The 20,833-nt window shown below is 39.3% G+C and overlaps 1 annotated feature.

The window, feature by feature from the left end:
* Positions 10,843-11,015: a silencer, noted in NCBI's record as "fragment chr1:231634962-231635134 (GRCh37/hg19 assembly coordinates)". NCBI's record gives its function as "represses an EF-1alpha promoter that drives an FKBP-Casp9 reporter gene in an ReSE screen in HepG2 liver carcinoma cells {active_cell/tissue: HepG2}" and the evidence as "EXISTENCE:reporter gene assay evidence [ECO:0000049][PMID:32094911]".

Consider the following 20,833-nt stretch of genomic DNA (forward strand, 5'->3'; position numbering starts at 1 on the left):
GGTGTCCTTTAAATTGTGATATTTTCATTATAATTGTTATTTAAGTACATTTGTTAGTGCTCTAATTTATAAAGTTGCATTGGTCTTTAGCAACCTGACTTAATCCTGTTTTTCACATAAGTCTATTATTTTTTGTGTGCAGTTTTGCAGAAGGCAAATTTTTCTTTAGAAAGTATCAAAGAGAAAGTAGGGAACTGGAACTTCAAGATAGGCAACAAGTAATAATATTTGTACTATCAAAGTCCCTGAAAAAGCAAATAAAATAATGAAACAGAACTAATATTTAAAATTATAATCCAAAAAACTTTCCAAAAATAAAAAGCTGAATCTATGAATTGAAAGAGCTCACTTAGGTACATGAGAAAATTCATCCAGAATGATCAACTCTGAGACACATCCTAGTAAAATTCATAGACCCAAAGATGAAGTCCTTAAAATCTCCAGGTAACAAGATCAAATATGCAAAGAGGAAAATTAGACTAGCATCAGACTTCATAAAACAATACAAAGTCAAACAACTGAGGAACAAGTTTTTAAGGCACTCACTCAAATAAATTGTGAATTAAGAACTTTATTTTCAGCTAAATTGCCCCTCAATGTGACGACTATAGAGAAACAGTCTCAATATACAAAAATGTAGAGAATTCTGTATCAATAAATCCTTTTGAGGAATTTATTAGAGAATGAACTTTCATCCAACCAGTAATGGCAGGAGAAACTTGAGTAAAAGAACTGATGGTAAGCATTTAATAATCTATAACTATACATAAAACTAAAACAAAGGTGGAGATGAGGATGGAAAACTAGCATACAAATGTTATATATTATGATAAAGTAGAAATAATATATCTTAAAAATAGGCAGTATAAGAAGAGGGAGAAAGAAAAGTAGAAAAAGCTCATTGTTTGAGGAGTAATAGGGGGATGTTAAGAGATACTGGAAAAAAAGCAAGCCTGATAAACAAGACAACAAAAGGTTAATTAACAAACGGGGGACCAAGAGCACTGAAAAAGATATAAATACAAAGGTAACCACTAAGATAAAAATATAAACTTTTCTAGAAAACCATAAATAAAATAGTAAAGAATACAAATCTCATAAACACAGGAAATATAACAAAATATAATAAAATGTTATGATTAATACCAAACATGTCACTCATAGCAATAAATGTGAATAGGTTTAATTCACCTATTAAGACCAAAAGACTCTCAATTCGTCTGACAAAACTAAAGCACAGCTATATAGTAGATAGCAGGCACACCTAAAACAAAAAGATTCAGAAAGGGTAGGTGAGAATAAAAGGATGAAAAAACCATATACCAGGCAAATGGAAATAAAGAGGGAGCAGGGGTAGCAATATCTATATTAGATAATGTAGACCTGGAAATGTAAAAAAAAAACAAAAAACTTCTTATTAAATAACTCTTGGCTGAAATGAGAAATACAAGCTGAAATACATTTATTTACTTATTTTTTTTTGAGATGGAGTCTCGCTCTGTCGCCCAGGCTGGAGTAGAGTGGTGCGATCTCAGCTCACTGCTGGCTCTGCCTCCCCAGTTCACGCCATTCTCCTGCCTCAGCCTCCCCAGCAGCTGGGACTACAAGCGCCCGCCACCACGCCCGGCTAATTTTTTTGTATTTTTAGTAGAGACGGGGTTTCACCGTGTTAGCCAGGCTGGTCTCGATCTCCTGACTTCGTGATCGGCCCACCTCGGCCTCCCAAAGTGCTGGGATTACAGGCATGAGCCACCGTGCCTGGCTGAAATACATTATTTTAAACAAATAATAGATAATAAAAACACTACGTATTAGAATCTATGGGATGTATTTAAAACAGTACTTAGAGAAAAATTAATTACACTACCTTTTCTCTAAAAGTGAAAGGACAAAAATAATGAATTAAATTTATAGTTCAAACAATTAGAACAGTTTAAAACAAAAGAAAACAGTAAAGATAAAAGCAGAGATTAGTGAAATAAAGAATAGAAAAACAGTAGCTCTAACAAATTGAAATCTTGGCTTTTTGGGGGACGAAATAAAATAGGCAAACTACTAACTAAATTGATGAAGAACAAAGAAAGTATAATATGTAGAGTAAGAAGTGAAAAGGGCGAAATAACCTTTCAAACAAAAGAAATTTTAAAAGTCAGAAGAGACTACTTTGCTGACCTCTAGACAAATAAATTGGAAAATCTGGATGAAGTGCATAATTTCTTACAGAAATACATTTTACCAAAATTAGCTCTGTTAGGTTTACAAAATTTAACCAATTTCCATAGAAGAAATGAAGACAGTTATTAAGAAATCACCCTGCAAAAAAAAAAACGCCAGGCCCAGATGTTTTCACGAGTGAATTCTACCAAGTTTTGAAAGACCAGGTCCTAACAGCTTATAAATTATTTCAGAGCATGGAAAATGAAAGAAAATTTCCAAACTGTTTTTATGAAATAGGAATAATGTTAGTACCTAAACCAGACAAAGACAGTACAAAGAAAAAAAAACCCTACCGATCTATGTCACTTTTGAATATCAATGAAAAAATGTTAAGTAAATTATTAGCAAATAGAATCTAAAACCACACTAAGAAAATAGTACACCATTGCTAAGTGGGATTTATTTGGGGACTGCAAACTTGGTTCGATATTAGAAACTCCATTAATACTATTGTATTAGGGTTTTCTAGAGAAGCAGAACCAATAAAATACATATATCTATATAGTCATGTGCTGTATAATGATGTTTCCATTAACAATGGATTACATACAACATTGGCCTCATAAGATTATAAATGATTTTTTTTTTTTTTTTTTTTTGAGACGGAGTCTCGCTCTGTCACCCAGGCTGGAGTGCAGTGGCGCAGTCTCGGCTCACTGCAAGCTCCGCCTCCCGGGTTCACGCCATTCTCCTGCCTCAGCCTCTCCGAGTAGCTGGGACTACAGGCGCCCGCCACCACGCCCAGCTAATTTTTTTTTTATTTTTAGTAGAGACGGGGTTTCACCGTGGTCTCGATCTCCTGACCTCGTGATCCACCCGCCTCGGCCTCCCAAAGTGCTGGGATTACAAGCGTGAGCCACCGCGCCCGGCCTATAAATGATATTTTTACCATACATTTTCTATGTTTAGGTATGTTTAGATACACAAATACCCTTGTGTTACAGTTGCCTACAGTATTCAGTATAATAACATGTTGTACAGGTTTGTAGCCTAGGAGTAACAGGTTATGCCATATAGCCTAGGTGCGTAGTAGGCTATACGATCTAGGTTGGCGTACGTATGCTATATGGTGTTTGCACAATGACAAAATTGCCTAACAATGCATTTCTCAGAACATATTCCCAGCATTAAGTGATGCATGACAGTATATATAAAGAGATTTTTCATAGGTTATTGGCTCCCATGATTGTGGAGGCTGAGAAGCCCCATAATTGGCTATCTGCAAGCTGGAACTGAGGAAAGCCAGTGATATAGTTCCAGGCTAAGCCTGAAGGCTTGAGAACCAAGAGAATCTATGCTGTAAGTTCTAGCCCAAATTTGAAGGCCTGGGACCAATTTTCCAGCTCAAGCAGTCAGGCAGAGAGAGTGAATTCTCCCTTTCTAAGCCATTTTGTTTTGCTTAGGCTCTCAACGGATTAGATGACACCCACCCACACTGAAGAGGGCCATCAGCTTTACTTACTTAGCCTACCAATTCAAATGCTAATATTTTATGGAAACACTTTTGCAGACACATCCAGAATTATATTTAACCAAATATCTGGGCACCCAGTGGCCCACTCAAATTGGCATATAAAAGTGTCACAACTATATGTCACATTAGAAAATCCAAGGAAAAACTCATAATTATGTCCATCAATGCTGACAAGGTCTTTGACAAAAGTCAACAACCACTCGTTACTTTAAAAAAGAAACGCTCAAAATAGGAATTGAGACATACTTTCTTAACACAATATAGTATGTATAGCCTAGTCTTTTAGTCAGTATCTTATTTAATGAGAAAACACTAGAGATGTTTCCATTAAGATTTTAATTTTAAATTTTTGTGTGTACATAGTAGGCCTATATATTTATTGGAATTAATAGTCTTTACATTAAATTCAGCATGACTCTAAACTGTAATCTAATCTGGCGAGAATGAAATTCAGTGTGTTGTTACTGTATTTCTACTATCAATTCTGACATCTGTGTGACTTGATTTGTTCCTATTAAGATTTCTCGGCCGGGCGCGGTGGCTCACGCCTGTAATCCCAGCACTTCGGGAGGCCGAGGCAGGCGGATTAAAGGTCAAGAGATTGAGACCATCCTGGCCAACATGGTGAAACACCGTCTTTACTAAAAATACAAAAAAAATTAGCTGGGCGTGGTGGCGTGTGCCTGTAGTCCCATCTGAGGCTGAGGCAGGGGAATCGCTTGAACCGGGAGGCGGAGCTTGCAGTGAGCCGACATCGCCCCACTGCACTCCAGCCTGGCGACAGAGCGAGACTCCGTCTCAACAAACAAACAAACAAACAAACAAACAAACAAACAAAGATTTCTAAGAGAATAAACCTTCTGTGTCCCTCCTAGGAATTCTGTATGGTTGTAGGTATGTCCGGGGGTAGTAAAAAGGAGGGAACCGACAGGTCTTTCACACACACTTTCAACCCATCCTCCTATTTTCAGCCCCACACCTGACCTTCACTTTTGCCTGAAGTCTTAACCCTTTCTGTGATTTTGCAGGATGCCATCGACGAACTCTCAGCTTGTTCACTACCTCCTCCGTACATATAAGTAGTGTCTTTCTCTACCATGCTAACAGTTACGCTTACTTCCCTTTGCAGATTCTGAAAATCAGTTGAAATCTTGTATGTTACCATCTTTTTTCCTGATCTTTATTTTTATATGTCTATAAGTTTTTATTCCTTTATTAATATTTTATCATTTTACTATTAAACTTATTTTAATAAAGACTAAGGAAGGAAAGGAGATAAGAAATGTAGTCATTATCAACAGCTGGTGGTTATAACCATAATATAAATGTTAAGAAAATAATTCCTTGTTTCATCGAAGGAATTTAAATCATAAGAATACTCTTATTATGTGTGACTATGAGGTTGGAAAAGAACAACCATCTTTGTTTCAAAAATGACCAGAACATTTAGGTGATTTCCTCAAGGCCAAATTTATCTGTAAGATTTTTGTCCAAGAACAAAGAGTTTCTTTCCAGTTCTAATATTTTTGGGGAAAACCCCACAAGTTTTTGTGCAAATGGTAACATTTTTTAATTTTACGTAAGTTAATTGGTATGAGTCACTTCCTTTCATGGATAGAATACGTAAAGTCCCAGTGGGGTAACTGCTAGTAAGTTGTTCAGTATGGTGTGTTAGGATAAACGTTTTGGAGAAAAAAATATGTGTCCTGACCTTGGTAAGGGAAATAAATTTATCACATATAAGTTACCTCCATTCATTCTCAAGCACTTGATGGTTTCCTATTTTCATAGAAGTCCTATCACTGTGATCCTCCCACTTAGATATAGACTTTATAGTTTTCCCGTCTTTCACCACTCCCTTCTCCCTTTTCTATGAATGGAACGTAAGACATGTCTTTCTGTTCTGTGAAATCACCAAGTTCCCTCCCACCTCTGGGCCCTTATGTCTGCCTGAAATACTCTGACCTCTGCTGTCTTCATTTGGTTTCCTCCACACCGCAGATAAGATTGTTACTTCCCCCAGGGAATTTTTTTCTCAGCTTATTACAAGGAGAGTTAAGTGTTCCTATTGTATGCCTTCATAGCTTTCAATATTTTTCCTAATGCAGGCTTCTCATGTCCCGTTGTGACTGGCTACCTATTTACCCAAATCCTCTGATTAAATGTAAGCTCCAGAAGACCCAAATCATGTCAATTTCCTCACCATATTATTCTAATATTTACTTTGTATTTATACATCTTTTAATATAATCTACATATTTCTCTACAATCAAGAGGTTGCTTATTCATGAATAATAATTAAGACCATTTACTCATTAAACTATAGGCAGTCCTCCCTTTGCATAGTTCCAATATGCACAAATTCCAGTTATTAGCTTAAATAACACCAGTTCTTCAATAATCTGGTTTAAATTTCAGTTACTATAGTATTAATATATGAACTGTAATTGCTTAAAATGCACACTTTGCTGCTAGGTCTTCAGTCCTCAGATCACTAAGTAAATAAGAGATGCACATCACTGTTTTCAAAGTCTATCAGAGGCTGTTCCTATCAGTTCCTGTGCATCTTCTATTCAGTTCACACTCAGACAACAAAGCATGTAGTCATGTTGTCTCCTTGTCTTATGATAGACCCACGTGATATGTTACAAAATTGGATAATTGAAAGAGGACATAGCTAAAGATAAAAGTGCAAGAAAGTTTTCTGAGAAGATAGACTCTGGGGGGAAAAAAAGAAAGAAAAAAAGTGCTACAAAGAAAGAAAAGTGATAACATTGGAAGTGAAATTCAAATTACACATAAACAGAGTTACAGAAGAAAAAATTAACCATGGGAATGTTGACACTACCACCATTTGAGAGACTTAAGATATGCTGCCATAGCCAGTTAGTGAATGCAAACTTCACTAACTAAATGAAGAAAGTGATTGTGACTGAAAGGATGAAGATATCCCAGAAGACAGGACACCATTTAAAAAAACCTTCACACTAAAGGAACTCTCAAAGGGCAGTGTGGTGGCTCACTCCTGTAAACCCAGTGCTTTGGGAGGCCGAGGAGGGAGGATTACTTGAAGCCAGGAGTTAGAGACCAGCCTGGGCAACATAGCAAGACTCTGTCTCTACAAAATGATTTAAAAATTAGCTGGGGATAGTGGTATGCACCTGTAGTCTCAGCTACCCAGGAGGCTGAGGCAGGAGGATTGCTTGAGCCTAGGAGTTAAAAGGCTGCAGTGAACTAGGATCATGCCACTGGACTCCAGCCTGGACGACAGAGCAAAGGCCCTAAGGGACTCTCAGACATAATCCACCATGTTGAAAGTTCAGATGATAAAATATTGAAGCTGATCCAAACTTAGAAAGGAATATGACAATTTGCCAAGGCATAGAAACATGCTCATTTCATATAAAAGTTACACAATGAGAAGGCAAGCACTGTTCCAACCACTCGATTTTTTCTTTTCTTTTTTTTTTTTTTTTTGATGGAGTCTCGCTCTGTCACCCAGGCTGGAGTGCAGTGGTACGATCACTGCAACCTCTGTCTCCTGGGTTCAAGAAATTCCCATACCTTAGCCTCCCGAGTAGCTGGGATTACAGGCATGCATCACCATGCCTGGCTAATTTTTTGTATTTTTAGTAGAGATGGGGTTTCACTGTGTTGGCCAGGCTGGTCTTGAACTCTTGACCTCAAGTGATGTGCCTGCCTTGGCCTCCCAAAGTGCTGGGATTACAGGCGTGAGCCACTGTGCCTAGTCCACTTGATACTTTTTTTTTTTTTTTTGAGACGGAGTCTGGCTCTGTCGCCCAGGCTGGAGTGCAGTGGCGCAATCTCGGCTCACTGCAAGCTCCGCCTCCCGGGTTCACGCCATTCTCCTGCCTCAGCCTCCCCAGTAGCTGGGACTACAGGCGCACGCCACTACGCCCGGCTAATTTTTTGTATTTTTAGTAGAGACGGGGTTTCACTGTGTTAGCCAGGATGGTCTTGATCTCCTGACCTCGTGATCCGCCTGCCTCGGCCTCCCAAAGTGCTGGGATTGCAGGCGTGAGCCACCGCGCCCGGCTCACTTGATACTTTTAATAAAGAAATACAATACTTTATTTTTTCATGTTTCTAATTTTTAAATTACATGCTAAATATTACACTATTCTTTAACTTTGCTATGCACTTATATCTGACATTAGAGAGTTTTTAATATTTTGACAAACATCGTAATGATCATGGAACAATTGTAACTTTTCTGGCTGGGCACAGTGGCTCATGTCTGTAATCCCAGCACTTTGGGAGGCCAAGGCAGGAGGATCACTTGAGGCCAGGAGTTCAAGACCAGCCTAGCCAACATGGGGAAATCCCATCTCTACTAAAAATGCAAAACATTAGCTGGGCTGTGGTGGTGCATGCCTGTAATCCCAGCTACTCAGGAGGCTGAGGCACAAGAATCACTTGAACCCAGGAGGTGGAGGTTGCAGTGATCTGAGATCGTGCCACTGTACTCCAGCCTGGGTGACACAGCGAGAACCTGTCTAAAAAAAAATTGTAACTTTTCACATTGGTTATTAATAATGTTTTGTCTGGTTTCAGCTTGCACAGTCATTTTTATGGTCCCACACTACCGTACAAAGCAAGGACTGGCTGGAATTTATTGAAGGTCAACTATGTACCTGACATTATTCTAGGCCCTCGGTTTCAATGGTGAATGAAACAGACAAAGCCTCTGCCCTCACATACTTTCTTCCAGTGGGTGTGACAGATAATCACATTTATGTGCAATATATTTAAATGTATAAGAATTAAAGGACCATAATAAATGGAGAGAAAGGGAAATCACTGGGGGCTTGTATTTGTATTCAATTGAGGCAGTAGCCCAAGATACAGACTTGGAATGCTCCAACAATTATGTACCGAAAGTAGATAAAATAGTCAATGATGAAAAATAAAATATGAATGATAAAGGCATGAAATATGACAAGGGTGTCATCAATAAAGGTCAACTAAAATCCCATAATTGTAGTGTTGCCTTGGTGAAATAATTATATTCTGTGGTATGGTTGGTCCCCAGCATTGCAGGTTCAGACACTTCATTCTGCCAACATATCAAGATATGGTTCAGTTCTGTGGAGATCTTGAGAGATAATAATATAAACCTAGATGACAGTATAGTAACTTATGAAAAATATAACTAGCAAAATCATCAGCCCTTTATGCCCTATGGACTAAACTTTCTAATTTTGATTTATAGTCAGAAGTTTCCTTAATGAGTATATGCAGTAAAATCTGCAAGCTGCCTGCCTAGAATCTATTCCCCATCTAGCCCCCATCATATCCTTCCTAGTAAAGCTCCAATTTAGTTCATATGCAGCTTGTGTGATTAGGGGAAGCTGATTCCATACCCAAATTAGGAGATAGGCTCTATCTGGTCTAAGCCTATGACACTAATTCTGTCCCCTTGTCAAGTAATTAACTCAGGGATAAGATTTAAGCCAATCAGCACATGGCATTTCCATGGCAATAATATTGATGCAAATAGTGAGCACCTAACCTATACTAGTCTAATCAAACTGATGGGAATGTTCTTGTTCCTCTCTGTTCCTCTTCTTGTCTTCCCTTTCCCTTCCCTCTTTTCTTCCCTCCTTTTGTTAATGGTGAGAGACAGCCTGAGGATGAGGCTAGCATACACAGGGCAGAGCCAAGAATTAACAATGAAATAGAGCCAGAGCTTCCTTATGATGCACCTGGAACCTGTCCTACATTTATACTTCCTGTTCTGTGAAATAATACCTTTCCTTCACACTTAAATTCCAAAGTTCACACTTAACGACAGTCTGAGATTTCTCTTACTTGTGGCAAAGAGAATCTATGAGATATAGTATACCATGCATACAAAAGATGTTCATTGTATGACTCACCAATTTACTCTAGAGCTGCTGGATGCATCCTCCTAATGTTGGCCTCTCTGACCTCACCATCTCCTTCTGATTCTTAGATAGATTAATACCAATTATTCCAGAGCAACTTTTGGCTTATTAACTCAGCAATAATTAACTTTCTCTTCTGCTTTAGGCCTACAAGATATTCTATACGTAAGATGACTTTATATAATCAACACAAGATATATGTTTATAATTTAGCTCTCACTCTTCCCTATAATACAACATATCCACATTATCAATGGACATGAACATATTCCAAGGATAAACATCACTTCATGTTCAATGAATGGGTCCAAACTAAGGTCGTCTTCCAGTCCACTTGTATTAGTCCATTCTCACACTGCTAATAAAGACACACCCAAGACTGGGTAATTTATAAAGAAAAGAGGCTTAATTGACTCACAGTTCAGCATGGCTAGAGAGGTATCAGGAAACACAATCATGGTGGAAGGGGAAGCAAACATGTCTTTCTTCACATAGCAGCAGGAGGGAGACATGCTGAGGAAAAGGGGGAAAAGCCCCTTATAAAACCATCAGATCTCAAGAGAACTCACTATCATGAGAACAGAATGAGGGTAAATGCCCCCATGATTCAATTACTTCCCACTGGGTCCCTCCCATGGCATGTGGCAATTATAGGAACTACAGTTCATGATGAGATTGGGTGGGGACACAGCCAAACCATATCATTCCAGCCTTGGCCCCTCCCAAATCTCATGTTTTCACATTTAAAAACACAATCGTGCTTTCCAACCGTCCTCCAAAGTCTTAGCTGCTTCCAGCATTAACCCAAAAGTCCAAGTCCAAATGAAGTCCAAGTCTCATCTGAGACAAGGCAAGTCCCTTCTGCCTATGAGCCTGTAAAAACAAAAGCAAGTTAGTTACTTCTTAGATACAATGCGCGCACAGGCATTGGGTACATACACCCATTCCAGATGGCAGAAATTGGCCAAAACAAAGGGGCTACAGGCCCTATGCAAGTCTAAAATCCAATAGGGCAGTCATTAAACCTTAAAGTTCCAAAATGATCTCCTTTAACTCCATGTCTCACATCTAGGTTATGCTGATGCAAAAGGTGGGCTCCCATGGCCTTGGGCAGTTCTGCTCCTGTGGCTTTGCAGGGTAAAGCCCTCCTCCAAGCTGCTTTCATGGCTAGCATTGAGTGTCTGTGGCTTTTCTAGGCACACAGTGCAAGCTGTCAGTGGATCTATCATTCTGGAGTCTGGTGGCCCTCTTCTCACAGATCCACTAGGTAGTGCCCCAGTGGGGGCTCTGCGTGGGGCTACAACCCCACATTTCCTGTCTGCAGTACCTTAGCAGAGGTTCTCCATGAGGGCTCCATCCCTGAAGTGAACTTCTGCTTGGACTTCCAAGTGTTTCTATACATCCTCTGAAATCTAGATGGAGGTTCCCAAACCTCAATTCTTGACTTCTGTGCACACGGAGGCCCAACACCACGTGGAAGCTGCCAAGGCTTGGGGCTTGTACCCTCTGAAACAATGGTCTGAGCTGTACATTGGTAATGGCTGGAGCAGCTGGGATGCAGGGCACCAAGTCCTGAGGCTGCACATAGCTGAGGGGCACTGGATTCAGCCCAGGAAACCATTTTTCCCTCCTAGGCCTCCAGGCCTGTGATGGCAGAGGCTGCCCTAAAGGTCTCTGACATGCCTTGGAGACAATTTCCCCATTGTCTAGGTGGTGAACATTCAATTCCTCATGACTTATGCAAATTTCTGCAGCCAGCTTGAATTTCTCCCCAGAAAATGGGGTTTTCTTTTCTATCTCATTGTCAGGCTGCAGATTTTCCAAACTTTTATGCTTTGCTTTGTCAAAGCAGTTTTCTCTGATTTGTTTATGCTCTGCTTTGTTCAAAACACTTTGCCACTTAGAAATTTCTTCTGCCAGATACCCTAAATCATCTCTCTCAAATTCAGAGTTCCACAGATCTCTAGAGCAGGGGCGAATGCTGCCAATCTCTTTGCTAAAGCATAACAAGAGTCACCTTTGCCCCAGTTCCCAACAAGTTCCCCGTGTCCATCTGAGACCACCTCAGCCTGCACTTTGTTTTCCATATCACTATCAGCACTTTGGTCAAAGCCATTCAACAAGTCTTCAGGAAGTTCCAAACTGTCCCAGATTTTCCTGTCTTCTGAGTCCTCCAAACTGTTCCAACCTCTGCCTGTCAGCCAATTCCAAAGTTGCTTCCACATTTTTGGGTATCTTTACAGCAGCATCCTACCCCTGGTACCAATTTACAGTATTACTCCATTCTCATGCTGCTAATAAAGACATACCTGAGACTGGGTAATTTATAAAGGAAAGAGGTTTAATTGACTCAGTTCAGGATGGCTGGAGAGGCCTCAGGAAACTTACAATCATGGCAGAAGGGGAAGCAAGTATGTCCTTCTTGACATGACATCAGGAAGAAGTGCCAAGCAAAATGGGGAAAAGCCCCTTCTAAAATAATCAGATCTCATGAGAACTCACCCACGATCATGAGAACAGCATGAGGGTAAATGCCCCCGTAATTCAACTACCCCCCACCAGGTCCCTCCCACGACATAGGGGGATTATGGGAACTATACTTTGAAATAAGATTTGGGTGGGGACATTGCCAAACCATATCACCACTCAAATCTCCACTCTTCATACCTGGCTCTAGTATGTCAGATTCTATTATCTCAAGCAGGTACAATTATATTTTGGAATAAATGAAAATTTTACTGAAGCTGAATTTGACCTGGAGTTTTCTCAGCTCCAGAAGAACAGTAAGTGACTTCTTCTTATGCAATCTCCCAAACACAAATGTAATGTCACCCATGGGACTGCTATGAATAGATGTTACTAGTTCCAATGATAGATTCCACATCAGCAAACTGTGACATTCTTTGGGATTAGCTGCCCCTTTTGTCAGTTTGGCTTCTACAAGGAAGTTCAACCATTATGAAATGCAAGATATTTTTGCACACGGCTGTCCTGACCTACAGTAATCATAAAACAAGAGCGAGATCTGAAATAGTACCTTTGTATTGACTGAAGATATGAAGTAAGAACTTTATAGCAAGAACTAAAACAAAAACAACAAACAGCAAGTGGATGTTTACAACAGGAGAGACTATCTTAGTCCATTCAGGCTGCTATAACAAAATATCTTAGACTGGGTAATTTATAAACAACAGAAGTTTATTGCTTACAGTTCTGGAGGCTGATATGTTCAAGATCAAGATGCCTGAAGATTTGGTGTCTGGTGAGGGTCTGTTCCTCAATGATGGTCCTTCTATGTGTCCTCACATGGCAGAAAGGCAAAAGGGCTCCATTAAGCCTCTTTTATAAGGGCAATAATCTCATTCATTACCTTAGTCACCTCTCAAATGCTCCACCTCTTACTCTATTGCATAGAGATTAGGTTTCAACTTATGAATTTTGGAGAAATACAAACATTCAGATCATGGCAGAGGCATTACAACTACTCAATTCAAATGGCCTCCTTTCCCCCAGAACTCTATTAAATGAAGCACAAAACAGCATTTTTAAATGGGTAAGTAGCCAAGATAGTGGGCTAAAAGTACAATACTAGTAGCTAGTATTTTTTGACTATATACTATGTGTCAGGTAACACCATAGAACCTTTATGTGTTATCTCTTTTGGTCCTTACCACAGTTCTGTGAAGCAGAGGTTGCTCTACTTACTTCCAAAAAAATTTTTTTTGAGACAAGGTGTCATTCTGTTGCCCAGGCTGGAGTGCAGTGGCATGATCTCAACTCACTGCAACCTCCTCCTCCTGGGCTCCAGTGATCCCCCCACCTCAGCCTCCCATGTAGCTGAGACCACAGGTGTGTGCAACCATGCCTGGCTAATTTTTGTATTTTTTTGTAGGGACAAGATTTTGCCATGTTGCCCAGGCTGGTGTCAAACTCCTGGGCTCAAACGATCCTCCTGACTTGGCCTCCCAAAGTGCTAGGATTACAGGCGTGAGCCACCAGGCCTGGCTTTCAAATCTTAATGAAAATGTCTTACCCAAGTCCCATAGCAAGTAAGCACTAGAGATAAGATATGCTCATGGGTTGGCCTGGCTCTGAACTCTATGGTGTTTCTACATCTCCAAGCAGCATTTACTTGGATTTTTCTTTTAACTGACAGAATCATGTATATAAGTACTTACATGGAGTTATGGTTTTACCTCAAAGAAAAAAACTGAAGTATATAGATTTAGTCCTATCTATATGCCAGTGTTTTTTTTTCCTTGTTTATATCAAATCCTAAGGCTCAGCCTTTATATCTAGATTAGGTTTCATTACACAAGGCACATGGTTGATAAATTTGAGTTCAAATGCTCCATTTCAGAGAGCTTTACAAATCACAGGCATCGGTTCATTTCTATAAAGCCAAAAATACATTTTAAAAGTTAATAAATGGTGATAGTTTGTCCCCAAAATGGATGTGCCATTTATATCTTCACCAGTAATGTATGAATGTGTATTTTCCCTTCCTCTTAACAGCACTGGGTGTTATCAAACTTTATATTTTTTGCTTATCTGATAAGTATACATAGTATTTTGTTTTAATTTGCATTTCTGTAATTGAGAGTGCACTGTCATTGATTTATTGTCAATTTTTATCTCTTTTTTCAGAGATCCGTCTGGTTATATTTTTGCCCATTTTTCTTTTAACTTTTATTTTCGTTTCAAAGGTCCATGTGCAGGTTTGTTATACAGGTAAACTGCATTTCATGAGGTTTGGTGTACAGATAACTTCATCATCTGGGTAGTACGCATAGTATCTAACAGATTTTTTTTTATTCCTTCCTTCCTCCCAGCCTCCACCTTCAAGTAGGCCCGTGTGTCTGTTGTTCCCCTCCTAGTATCCATGTGTTCTCACTGTTTAGCTCCCATTTAAAAGTGAGAACACTCCGTATTTGGTTTTCTGTTCCTGTGTCAGTTTGTGATATGGTTTGGCTGTGTCTCTGCCTAAATCTTATCTTGAATTGTAGCTCCCATAATTCCCACTTGTTGTGGGAGGGAGCTGGTGGGAGATAATTGAATCATGGGGGTGATTTCCCCCATACTGTTCTCGTGCTAGTGAATAAGTCTCACAAGATCTGATGGTTTTATAAGGGGAAACTCCTTTCACTTGGTTCTCATTCTCTCTTTGCCTGCTGCCAGGTAAGACGTACCTTTCACCTTCTGCCAAGACTGTGAGGATTCTCCAGCCATGTGGAACTGTGAGTCCATTAAACCTCTTTTTCTTTATAAATTACCCAGTCTCAGGTATGTCTTTATCAGCAGCATGAAAATGGACTAATACAGTTTGCTTAGGATAATGGCCTCCAGCTCCATCCATGTTGCTGCAAAGGACATGATCTCATTCTTTTTTATGGCTGCATAGTATTCCATGGTGTATATACAGTACCCTATTTCCTTCACCCAGTCTGCCATTGATGGGCATTTAGGTTGATTCTATGTTTTTGCTATTGTACGTAGTGCTGCAATGAACATATGCATGCAGGTGTCTTTATGGCAGTATATACCCAATAATGGGATTTCTAGGTCAAATGGTAATTCCATTTTTAGTTCTTTGAGGAATTGCCACACTGTTCTACACAATGGCTGAACTAATTTACACTCCCACCAGCCGAATATAAACATTCCCCTTTCTCCACAACCTCACCAGCATTTATTTTTTGACTTTTTAATAATAGCTATTCTGACTGTTGTGAAATGGTATCTCATTGTGATTTTGGTTTGCATTTCTCTAAAGATTTGTGATGCTGGGAATTTTTTCATATGCTTGTTGGCCGCATGTATGTCTTCTTTGGAAAAGTGTTCATGTCCTTTGCCCACTTTTTAATGGGGTTGTTTTTTGCTTGTAAATTTGTTTAATTTCCTTATAGATTCTGGATATTAGACCTTTGTTGGATGCATAGTTTGCCAATATTTTCTCCCACTCTGTAGGCTGACTGTTTACTCTGTTGATTTCTTTTGCTGTGTAGAAGCTTTTAAGTTTAATTAGACCCCATTTGTCAATTTTTGTTGTTGTTGTTGCAACTGCTTTGGCATCTTTGTCACAAAATCTTTGCCAAGTCCTATGTTCAGAATGGTATTTTCTAGGTTATCTTACAGGGTTTGTATGGTTTTACACTTAAGTCTTTAATCCATCTTGAGTTATTTTATTTTATTTTTTTTTTTGAGATAGAGTCTTGCTCTGTTGCCCAGGCTGGAGTGCAGTGGTGTGATCTCGGCTCACTGCAAGTTCCTCCTCCCGGGTTCACGCCATTCTCCTGCCTCTGCCTCCCAAGTAGCTGGGACTACAGGCGCCTGCCACCCACCTGGCTAATTTTTTTGTATTTTTAGTAGAGACGGGGTTTCACCGTGTTAGCCAGGATGGTCTCGATCTCCTGACCTTGTGATCTGCCTGCCTCGGCCTCCCAAAGTGCTGGGATTACAGGCATGAGCCACCGCACCCAGCCGAGTTGATTTTTATATGTAGTATAAAGTAGGGGTCCAGATTCAATCTTCTGCATATGGCTAGCCAGCTATCTCAGCACCATTTTTGAATGGGGAGTCCTTTCTCCATTGCTTGTTTTTGTTAACTTTGTCAAAGATCAGACGGTTGTAGGTGTGTGGCATTATTTCTGGGCTCTCTATTCTGTTCTATTGGTGTATGTGTCTGTTTTGTACCCGTACCATGCTACTTGGGTTACTGTAGCCCTGTAGTATAGTTTGAAGTCAGGTAATGTGATGCCTCCAGTTTTGTTCTTTTTGTTTAGAATCGCCTTGGCTATTTGGGCTCCTTTTTGGTTCCATATAAATTGTAAAATAGTTTTTTCTAATTCTGTGAAAAATGCCATTGGTAGTTTGACAGAAATAGCATGTAATCTGTAAATTGCTTTGGGCAGTATGGCCATTTTAATGATATTGATTCTTCCTATCTATGAGCATAGAATGGTTTTCCATTTGTGTCATCTCTGATTTCTTTGAGCAGTGTTTTGCAGTTCTCATTGTAGAGATGTTTCATCTCCTTGGTTAACTGTATTCCTAGGTATTTTATTATTTTGGTAGTAATTGTGGGTGGGATTGCATTCCTGGTTTGGCTGTTGATTTGGATGTTGTTTGTGTATAGGAATGCTATTGATTTTTGTATGTTGATTTTGTATCCTGAAACTTTACTAAAGTTATCAGATCAAGGAGCTTTTGGACAGAGGTTATGTGGTTTTCTAGATCTAGAATCATATTGCCTATAAACAGTAATAATTTGACTTCCTCTCTTCCTATTTGGATGTCTTTTCTTTCTCTTGCCTGATTGCTCTCACCAGGATTTCCAATACTACGTTGAATAAGAGTGGTGTGAGAGATGGCATCCTTGTCTTATGCCAGCTTTCAAAGGGAATGTTTCCAGCTTTTGCCCATTCAGTATGGTGTTGGCTGTGGGTGGCTATAAATGGCTCTTAATATTTTGAGGTATATTCCTTCAATGCCTAGTTTGTTGAGGGCTTTTCACAGGAAGGGATGTTGAATTTTATCAAACACTTTTGCTGTATCTATTGAGATAATCATGTGGTTTTCGTTTTTAGTTCTGTTTATGTGATGAATCACACTTATTGATTAGCATATGTTGAACCAACTTTGCATCCCAGGGATAGAGCCTACTTGACTATGGCGGATTAGCTTTGAGATGTGCTGCTGGATTTAATTTGCTAGTATTTTGTTGCAAAATTTTGCACCTATGTTCATCAAAGGTATTGGCCTGACGTTTTCTTTTTGTTGTGTCTCTGCCAGGTTTTGGTATCAGAATGATGCTGGCCTCATAGGAAAAACTGGGAATTAGTCCCTGCTCCTCAATTTTTTAGAACAGTTTCAGTAAGAATGGTATCAGCCCTTCTTTATACATCTGGTAGAATTCGGCTGTGAATCCATCTGGTCCTGGGCTTTTTTTTTGGCTGTAGGCTTTTTATTAGCAACTCAATTTCTGAACTCATTATTGGTCTGTTCATGGATTCAGTTTCCAAGTAACTGTATGGTTTTGTGTGATTTTCTTAGTATTGATTTCTATTTTTATTGCACTGTGGTCTGAGAATGTGGTTGTTTCTATTTTTTCAAAATTTCTGAGTATTTTTTATGTCCAGTTGTGTGGCTGATTTTGGAGTATGTGCCATGTTGTGATGAGAAGAATGTGTATTATTCTCACATTCTTTTGGGGTGGAGAGTCCTGTAGCTGTCTATTAGGTCCATTTGGTCGAGTGTTGGCTTCAGGTCCTGAATATCTCTGATAATTATCTGCCTTGATGATCTGTCTAATATGGTCAGTAGGGTGTTGAAGTCTCCCACTTATTGTGTGGGAATCCAAGTCTCTTTGTAGCCTCTAAGAACTTGCTTTATGAGAGATGTGCAAATCTTGTGTTCACTTGGACACATAGAGGCTATTGTAGGTTAGATCTCAGGGGATAGGGAAGCCTGAGGAGAGAGAGATGGGGGCACAGCTGATTGGTAGAGCATACAGAGCACATTCATCAATTAAGTTTGCCATCTTATATGGGTGCTGTTCGTGATGCCCCAAAATAATTACAGTAGTAACATCAAAGATCACTGATAACAGATCACCATAACAGATATAATAATAATGAAAAAGTCTGAAATATTGTGAGAATTACCTTTATCAAGCTTTGGCATGATATTATCCTAATTTTATTAATATATTTAAAGTATTATTTCTTGTGTAAATATCTTTAAAACAGTTCTAAAATAATTTATTATATATAATATTTAAAATTTATAGTAAAAAATGCTGAGGCTAAGGGCATGAATGAAAGTGATGAAATAAGAATGTCACAACATTTTATTGCATTCCAAGAGTAAATGTAATAACTCAGGAATATGTAGCTATATAATACTTCAGTTTACATTCAATTGATATTATGGTCATTCAAAGGATCTGGAATGATTTAAATCCTGGTGAAAAGAAATGGAATGCCATCTCATTGCCTTTCCAATTTCTAACTTTCAGAATTATGTGGGAGGTATGTGGCATATTTATGTATATTAACTCAATATGCATATCTGTAACATAAATTTTCTATATACTGACATGTATGTTCAAAGGCGAGAGAAAAATTTGTGTTCCATTCTTTACTGGAAATCAGAACACATTAAAATAAATGCTTATTAGGTAAATGTTGTAAGTTTAATGGTTTGTTGCAACTATCATTTAAGCATCTCTATGTATCAGACACTTTCCATACATCATCTCACTTAATTAGCATCATTACACAGATGAGGCCCAGAGAGATAAAATTATATGCTTGAAAGCATAAGCTTCAACTCGCTGGCAGTCAGTCCTCAAAAACAGGCTCATTTAACTCCCGAAACTATGCTATTTTGCTCCACATTTTGCTCCACAGTGCTGCCTCTAAATATGTCCTACTCCAATACCAGGACATACTTTGGCTGCTAGGGATCATTTCAAATATCTATATTTGAGTATGGAATGTCTGGGACTATGTGTAAACCGTAACAGCCATAGATTTTCTTGTTATACAGGTACCTGTTAATCACTGAGAACCAAGAAAACTCATTGTGAAATACCAGATATGAGAAACTACATTTTCAGTAGACTTGAAAGCTGCACAAAGTATGGCAGAAACTCATACTTTTACAGGCTTATTTAGGCACTTTCAAAAGAGTGCTGTTAAAAATTAAAGGTATTTCATTTATTCTGACATGCCAGATAGGAGAGCACGTCTGCTTTCTTTCTCAGAGCTCTCAACAGTCTCACCAAAACCAGAGGCAGATTTGAGATTAAGATCAGATGTTCTCCAGGTAACATTAATCTATCCATCACTCAATTCTGAGTCAAAGCAACAGTATGACACAGACTCCTAAACTTGTGTCAGCTCCAACGTGCTCTGAGCCAGGTACAACAGCTTTGCTCCATGCAGTAGCGGGTGGAACCTTTGGACATGAAACTGTCATATTCATAGAAAAGATGCAGGGGAAGTTTCTGCTTGGTTCATGTCATAATAGAATCATTTGTTTTGCCCAAACAAGTTGATTTATTTAGGGATTTATTGGTTTACCCTGGCCAAACACGTTGATCAAACCTGCTCTGAGCCCAGCAGAAATAGGCCATGCAGTTTAACAGTAATAGAGACAAAAATAAAACTTGTTTGAAGTCAGGTAGCTTGACTAATCACGGAAGGAATTTGTTCTACACTTGCACACACCCTTCATCACAACTTGCACTTAGACTCTTTCGTCAATTTAAAATTAAGAATGGCAGAGACTTTCCATTACAGATGGTTTAGTCGGTTCTTTTAAAAGTATCTCATGACAGAGTTAAATATAGATCAAAATCACGTCAATATATAGTTACCAAGTTACGTACAAGCACTATGCTTTAAAGAGAAAAACAACAAAAAAGAAAAAAGGCATCTCCTATATTTAGGGGGTTGGTACAGGTGCTTGGTCTTTCTATGAAGCCCTATTTCAAAGAGTATAAATCCATGGTGCTCTTTTAAGAGACAAACTTAACTTCTAAATAATTATAGCTTTCTAGGTATCTTTCATCCAAAACACAATGTTTGACAATCTAGTTTATTTTTGAAACCGGAGAAGAGAAAAAGGCCTAGAAAATTTGTCTCCTGACAAGAAAGTGACTAGCGCAGTCTGCTGGCTCCATCTCACCAAGTCAGAAATGAAAGCAAAGCAAGGATTTGATGACTCAACATAAAAATCATGAGAAACCTCTGTACAGACTAAAGGATTCATTATCTCGTGTGAGGAAGGGGATGGCCAGCGGAGGCCTCAGCCTGGTGAGGAGAATGGCCTGGGGTGAAGGGCCACTGAAGGAAAAGGCATAAACGTAAGGACCGGCTTTTAAATTCTAACCCTGCTTCTCTCCCACATTGCCCTGGGAAGACCATCATGGAAGCAATCGCTGGCCAGCTGGTATCTCAGGATAATACTAGGGCAGCCTCGAAGGCCTGCGCGGGTGAGGAGAGGTACTGATGAAAACAGAAGCTAACTGATCAGACTTTCTCAAACACTCACACCTGCACTCCCTCCCTCACCAACCACCAAGACTTGCGCATTACACTCTAAGTAGAGTGTCTCTTCCCAGTGCGGGGTCTGTTACTCGAAGAGCAAATCCCTGATCAAAGGAGTTTGTCTGTGTGGTGGCAAGAAGCAGGGCTGAGACCAGCCCCTTCCTGATCCCTGGGGCTCT

This window comes from Homo sapiens, chromosome 1 (assembly GCF_000001405.40).
Source record: "Homo sapiens chromosome 1, GRCh38.p14 Primary Assembly".
Classification (NCBI taxonomy): domain Eukaryota; kingdom Metazoa; phylum Chordata; class Mammalia; order Primates; family Hominidae; genus Homo; species Homo sapiens.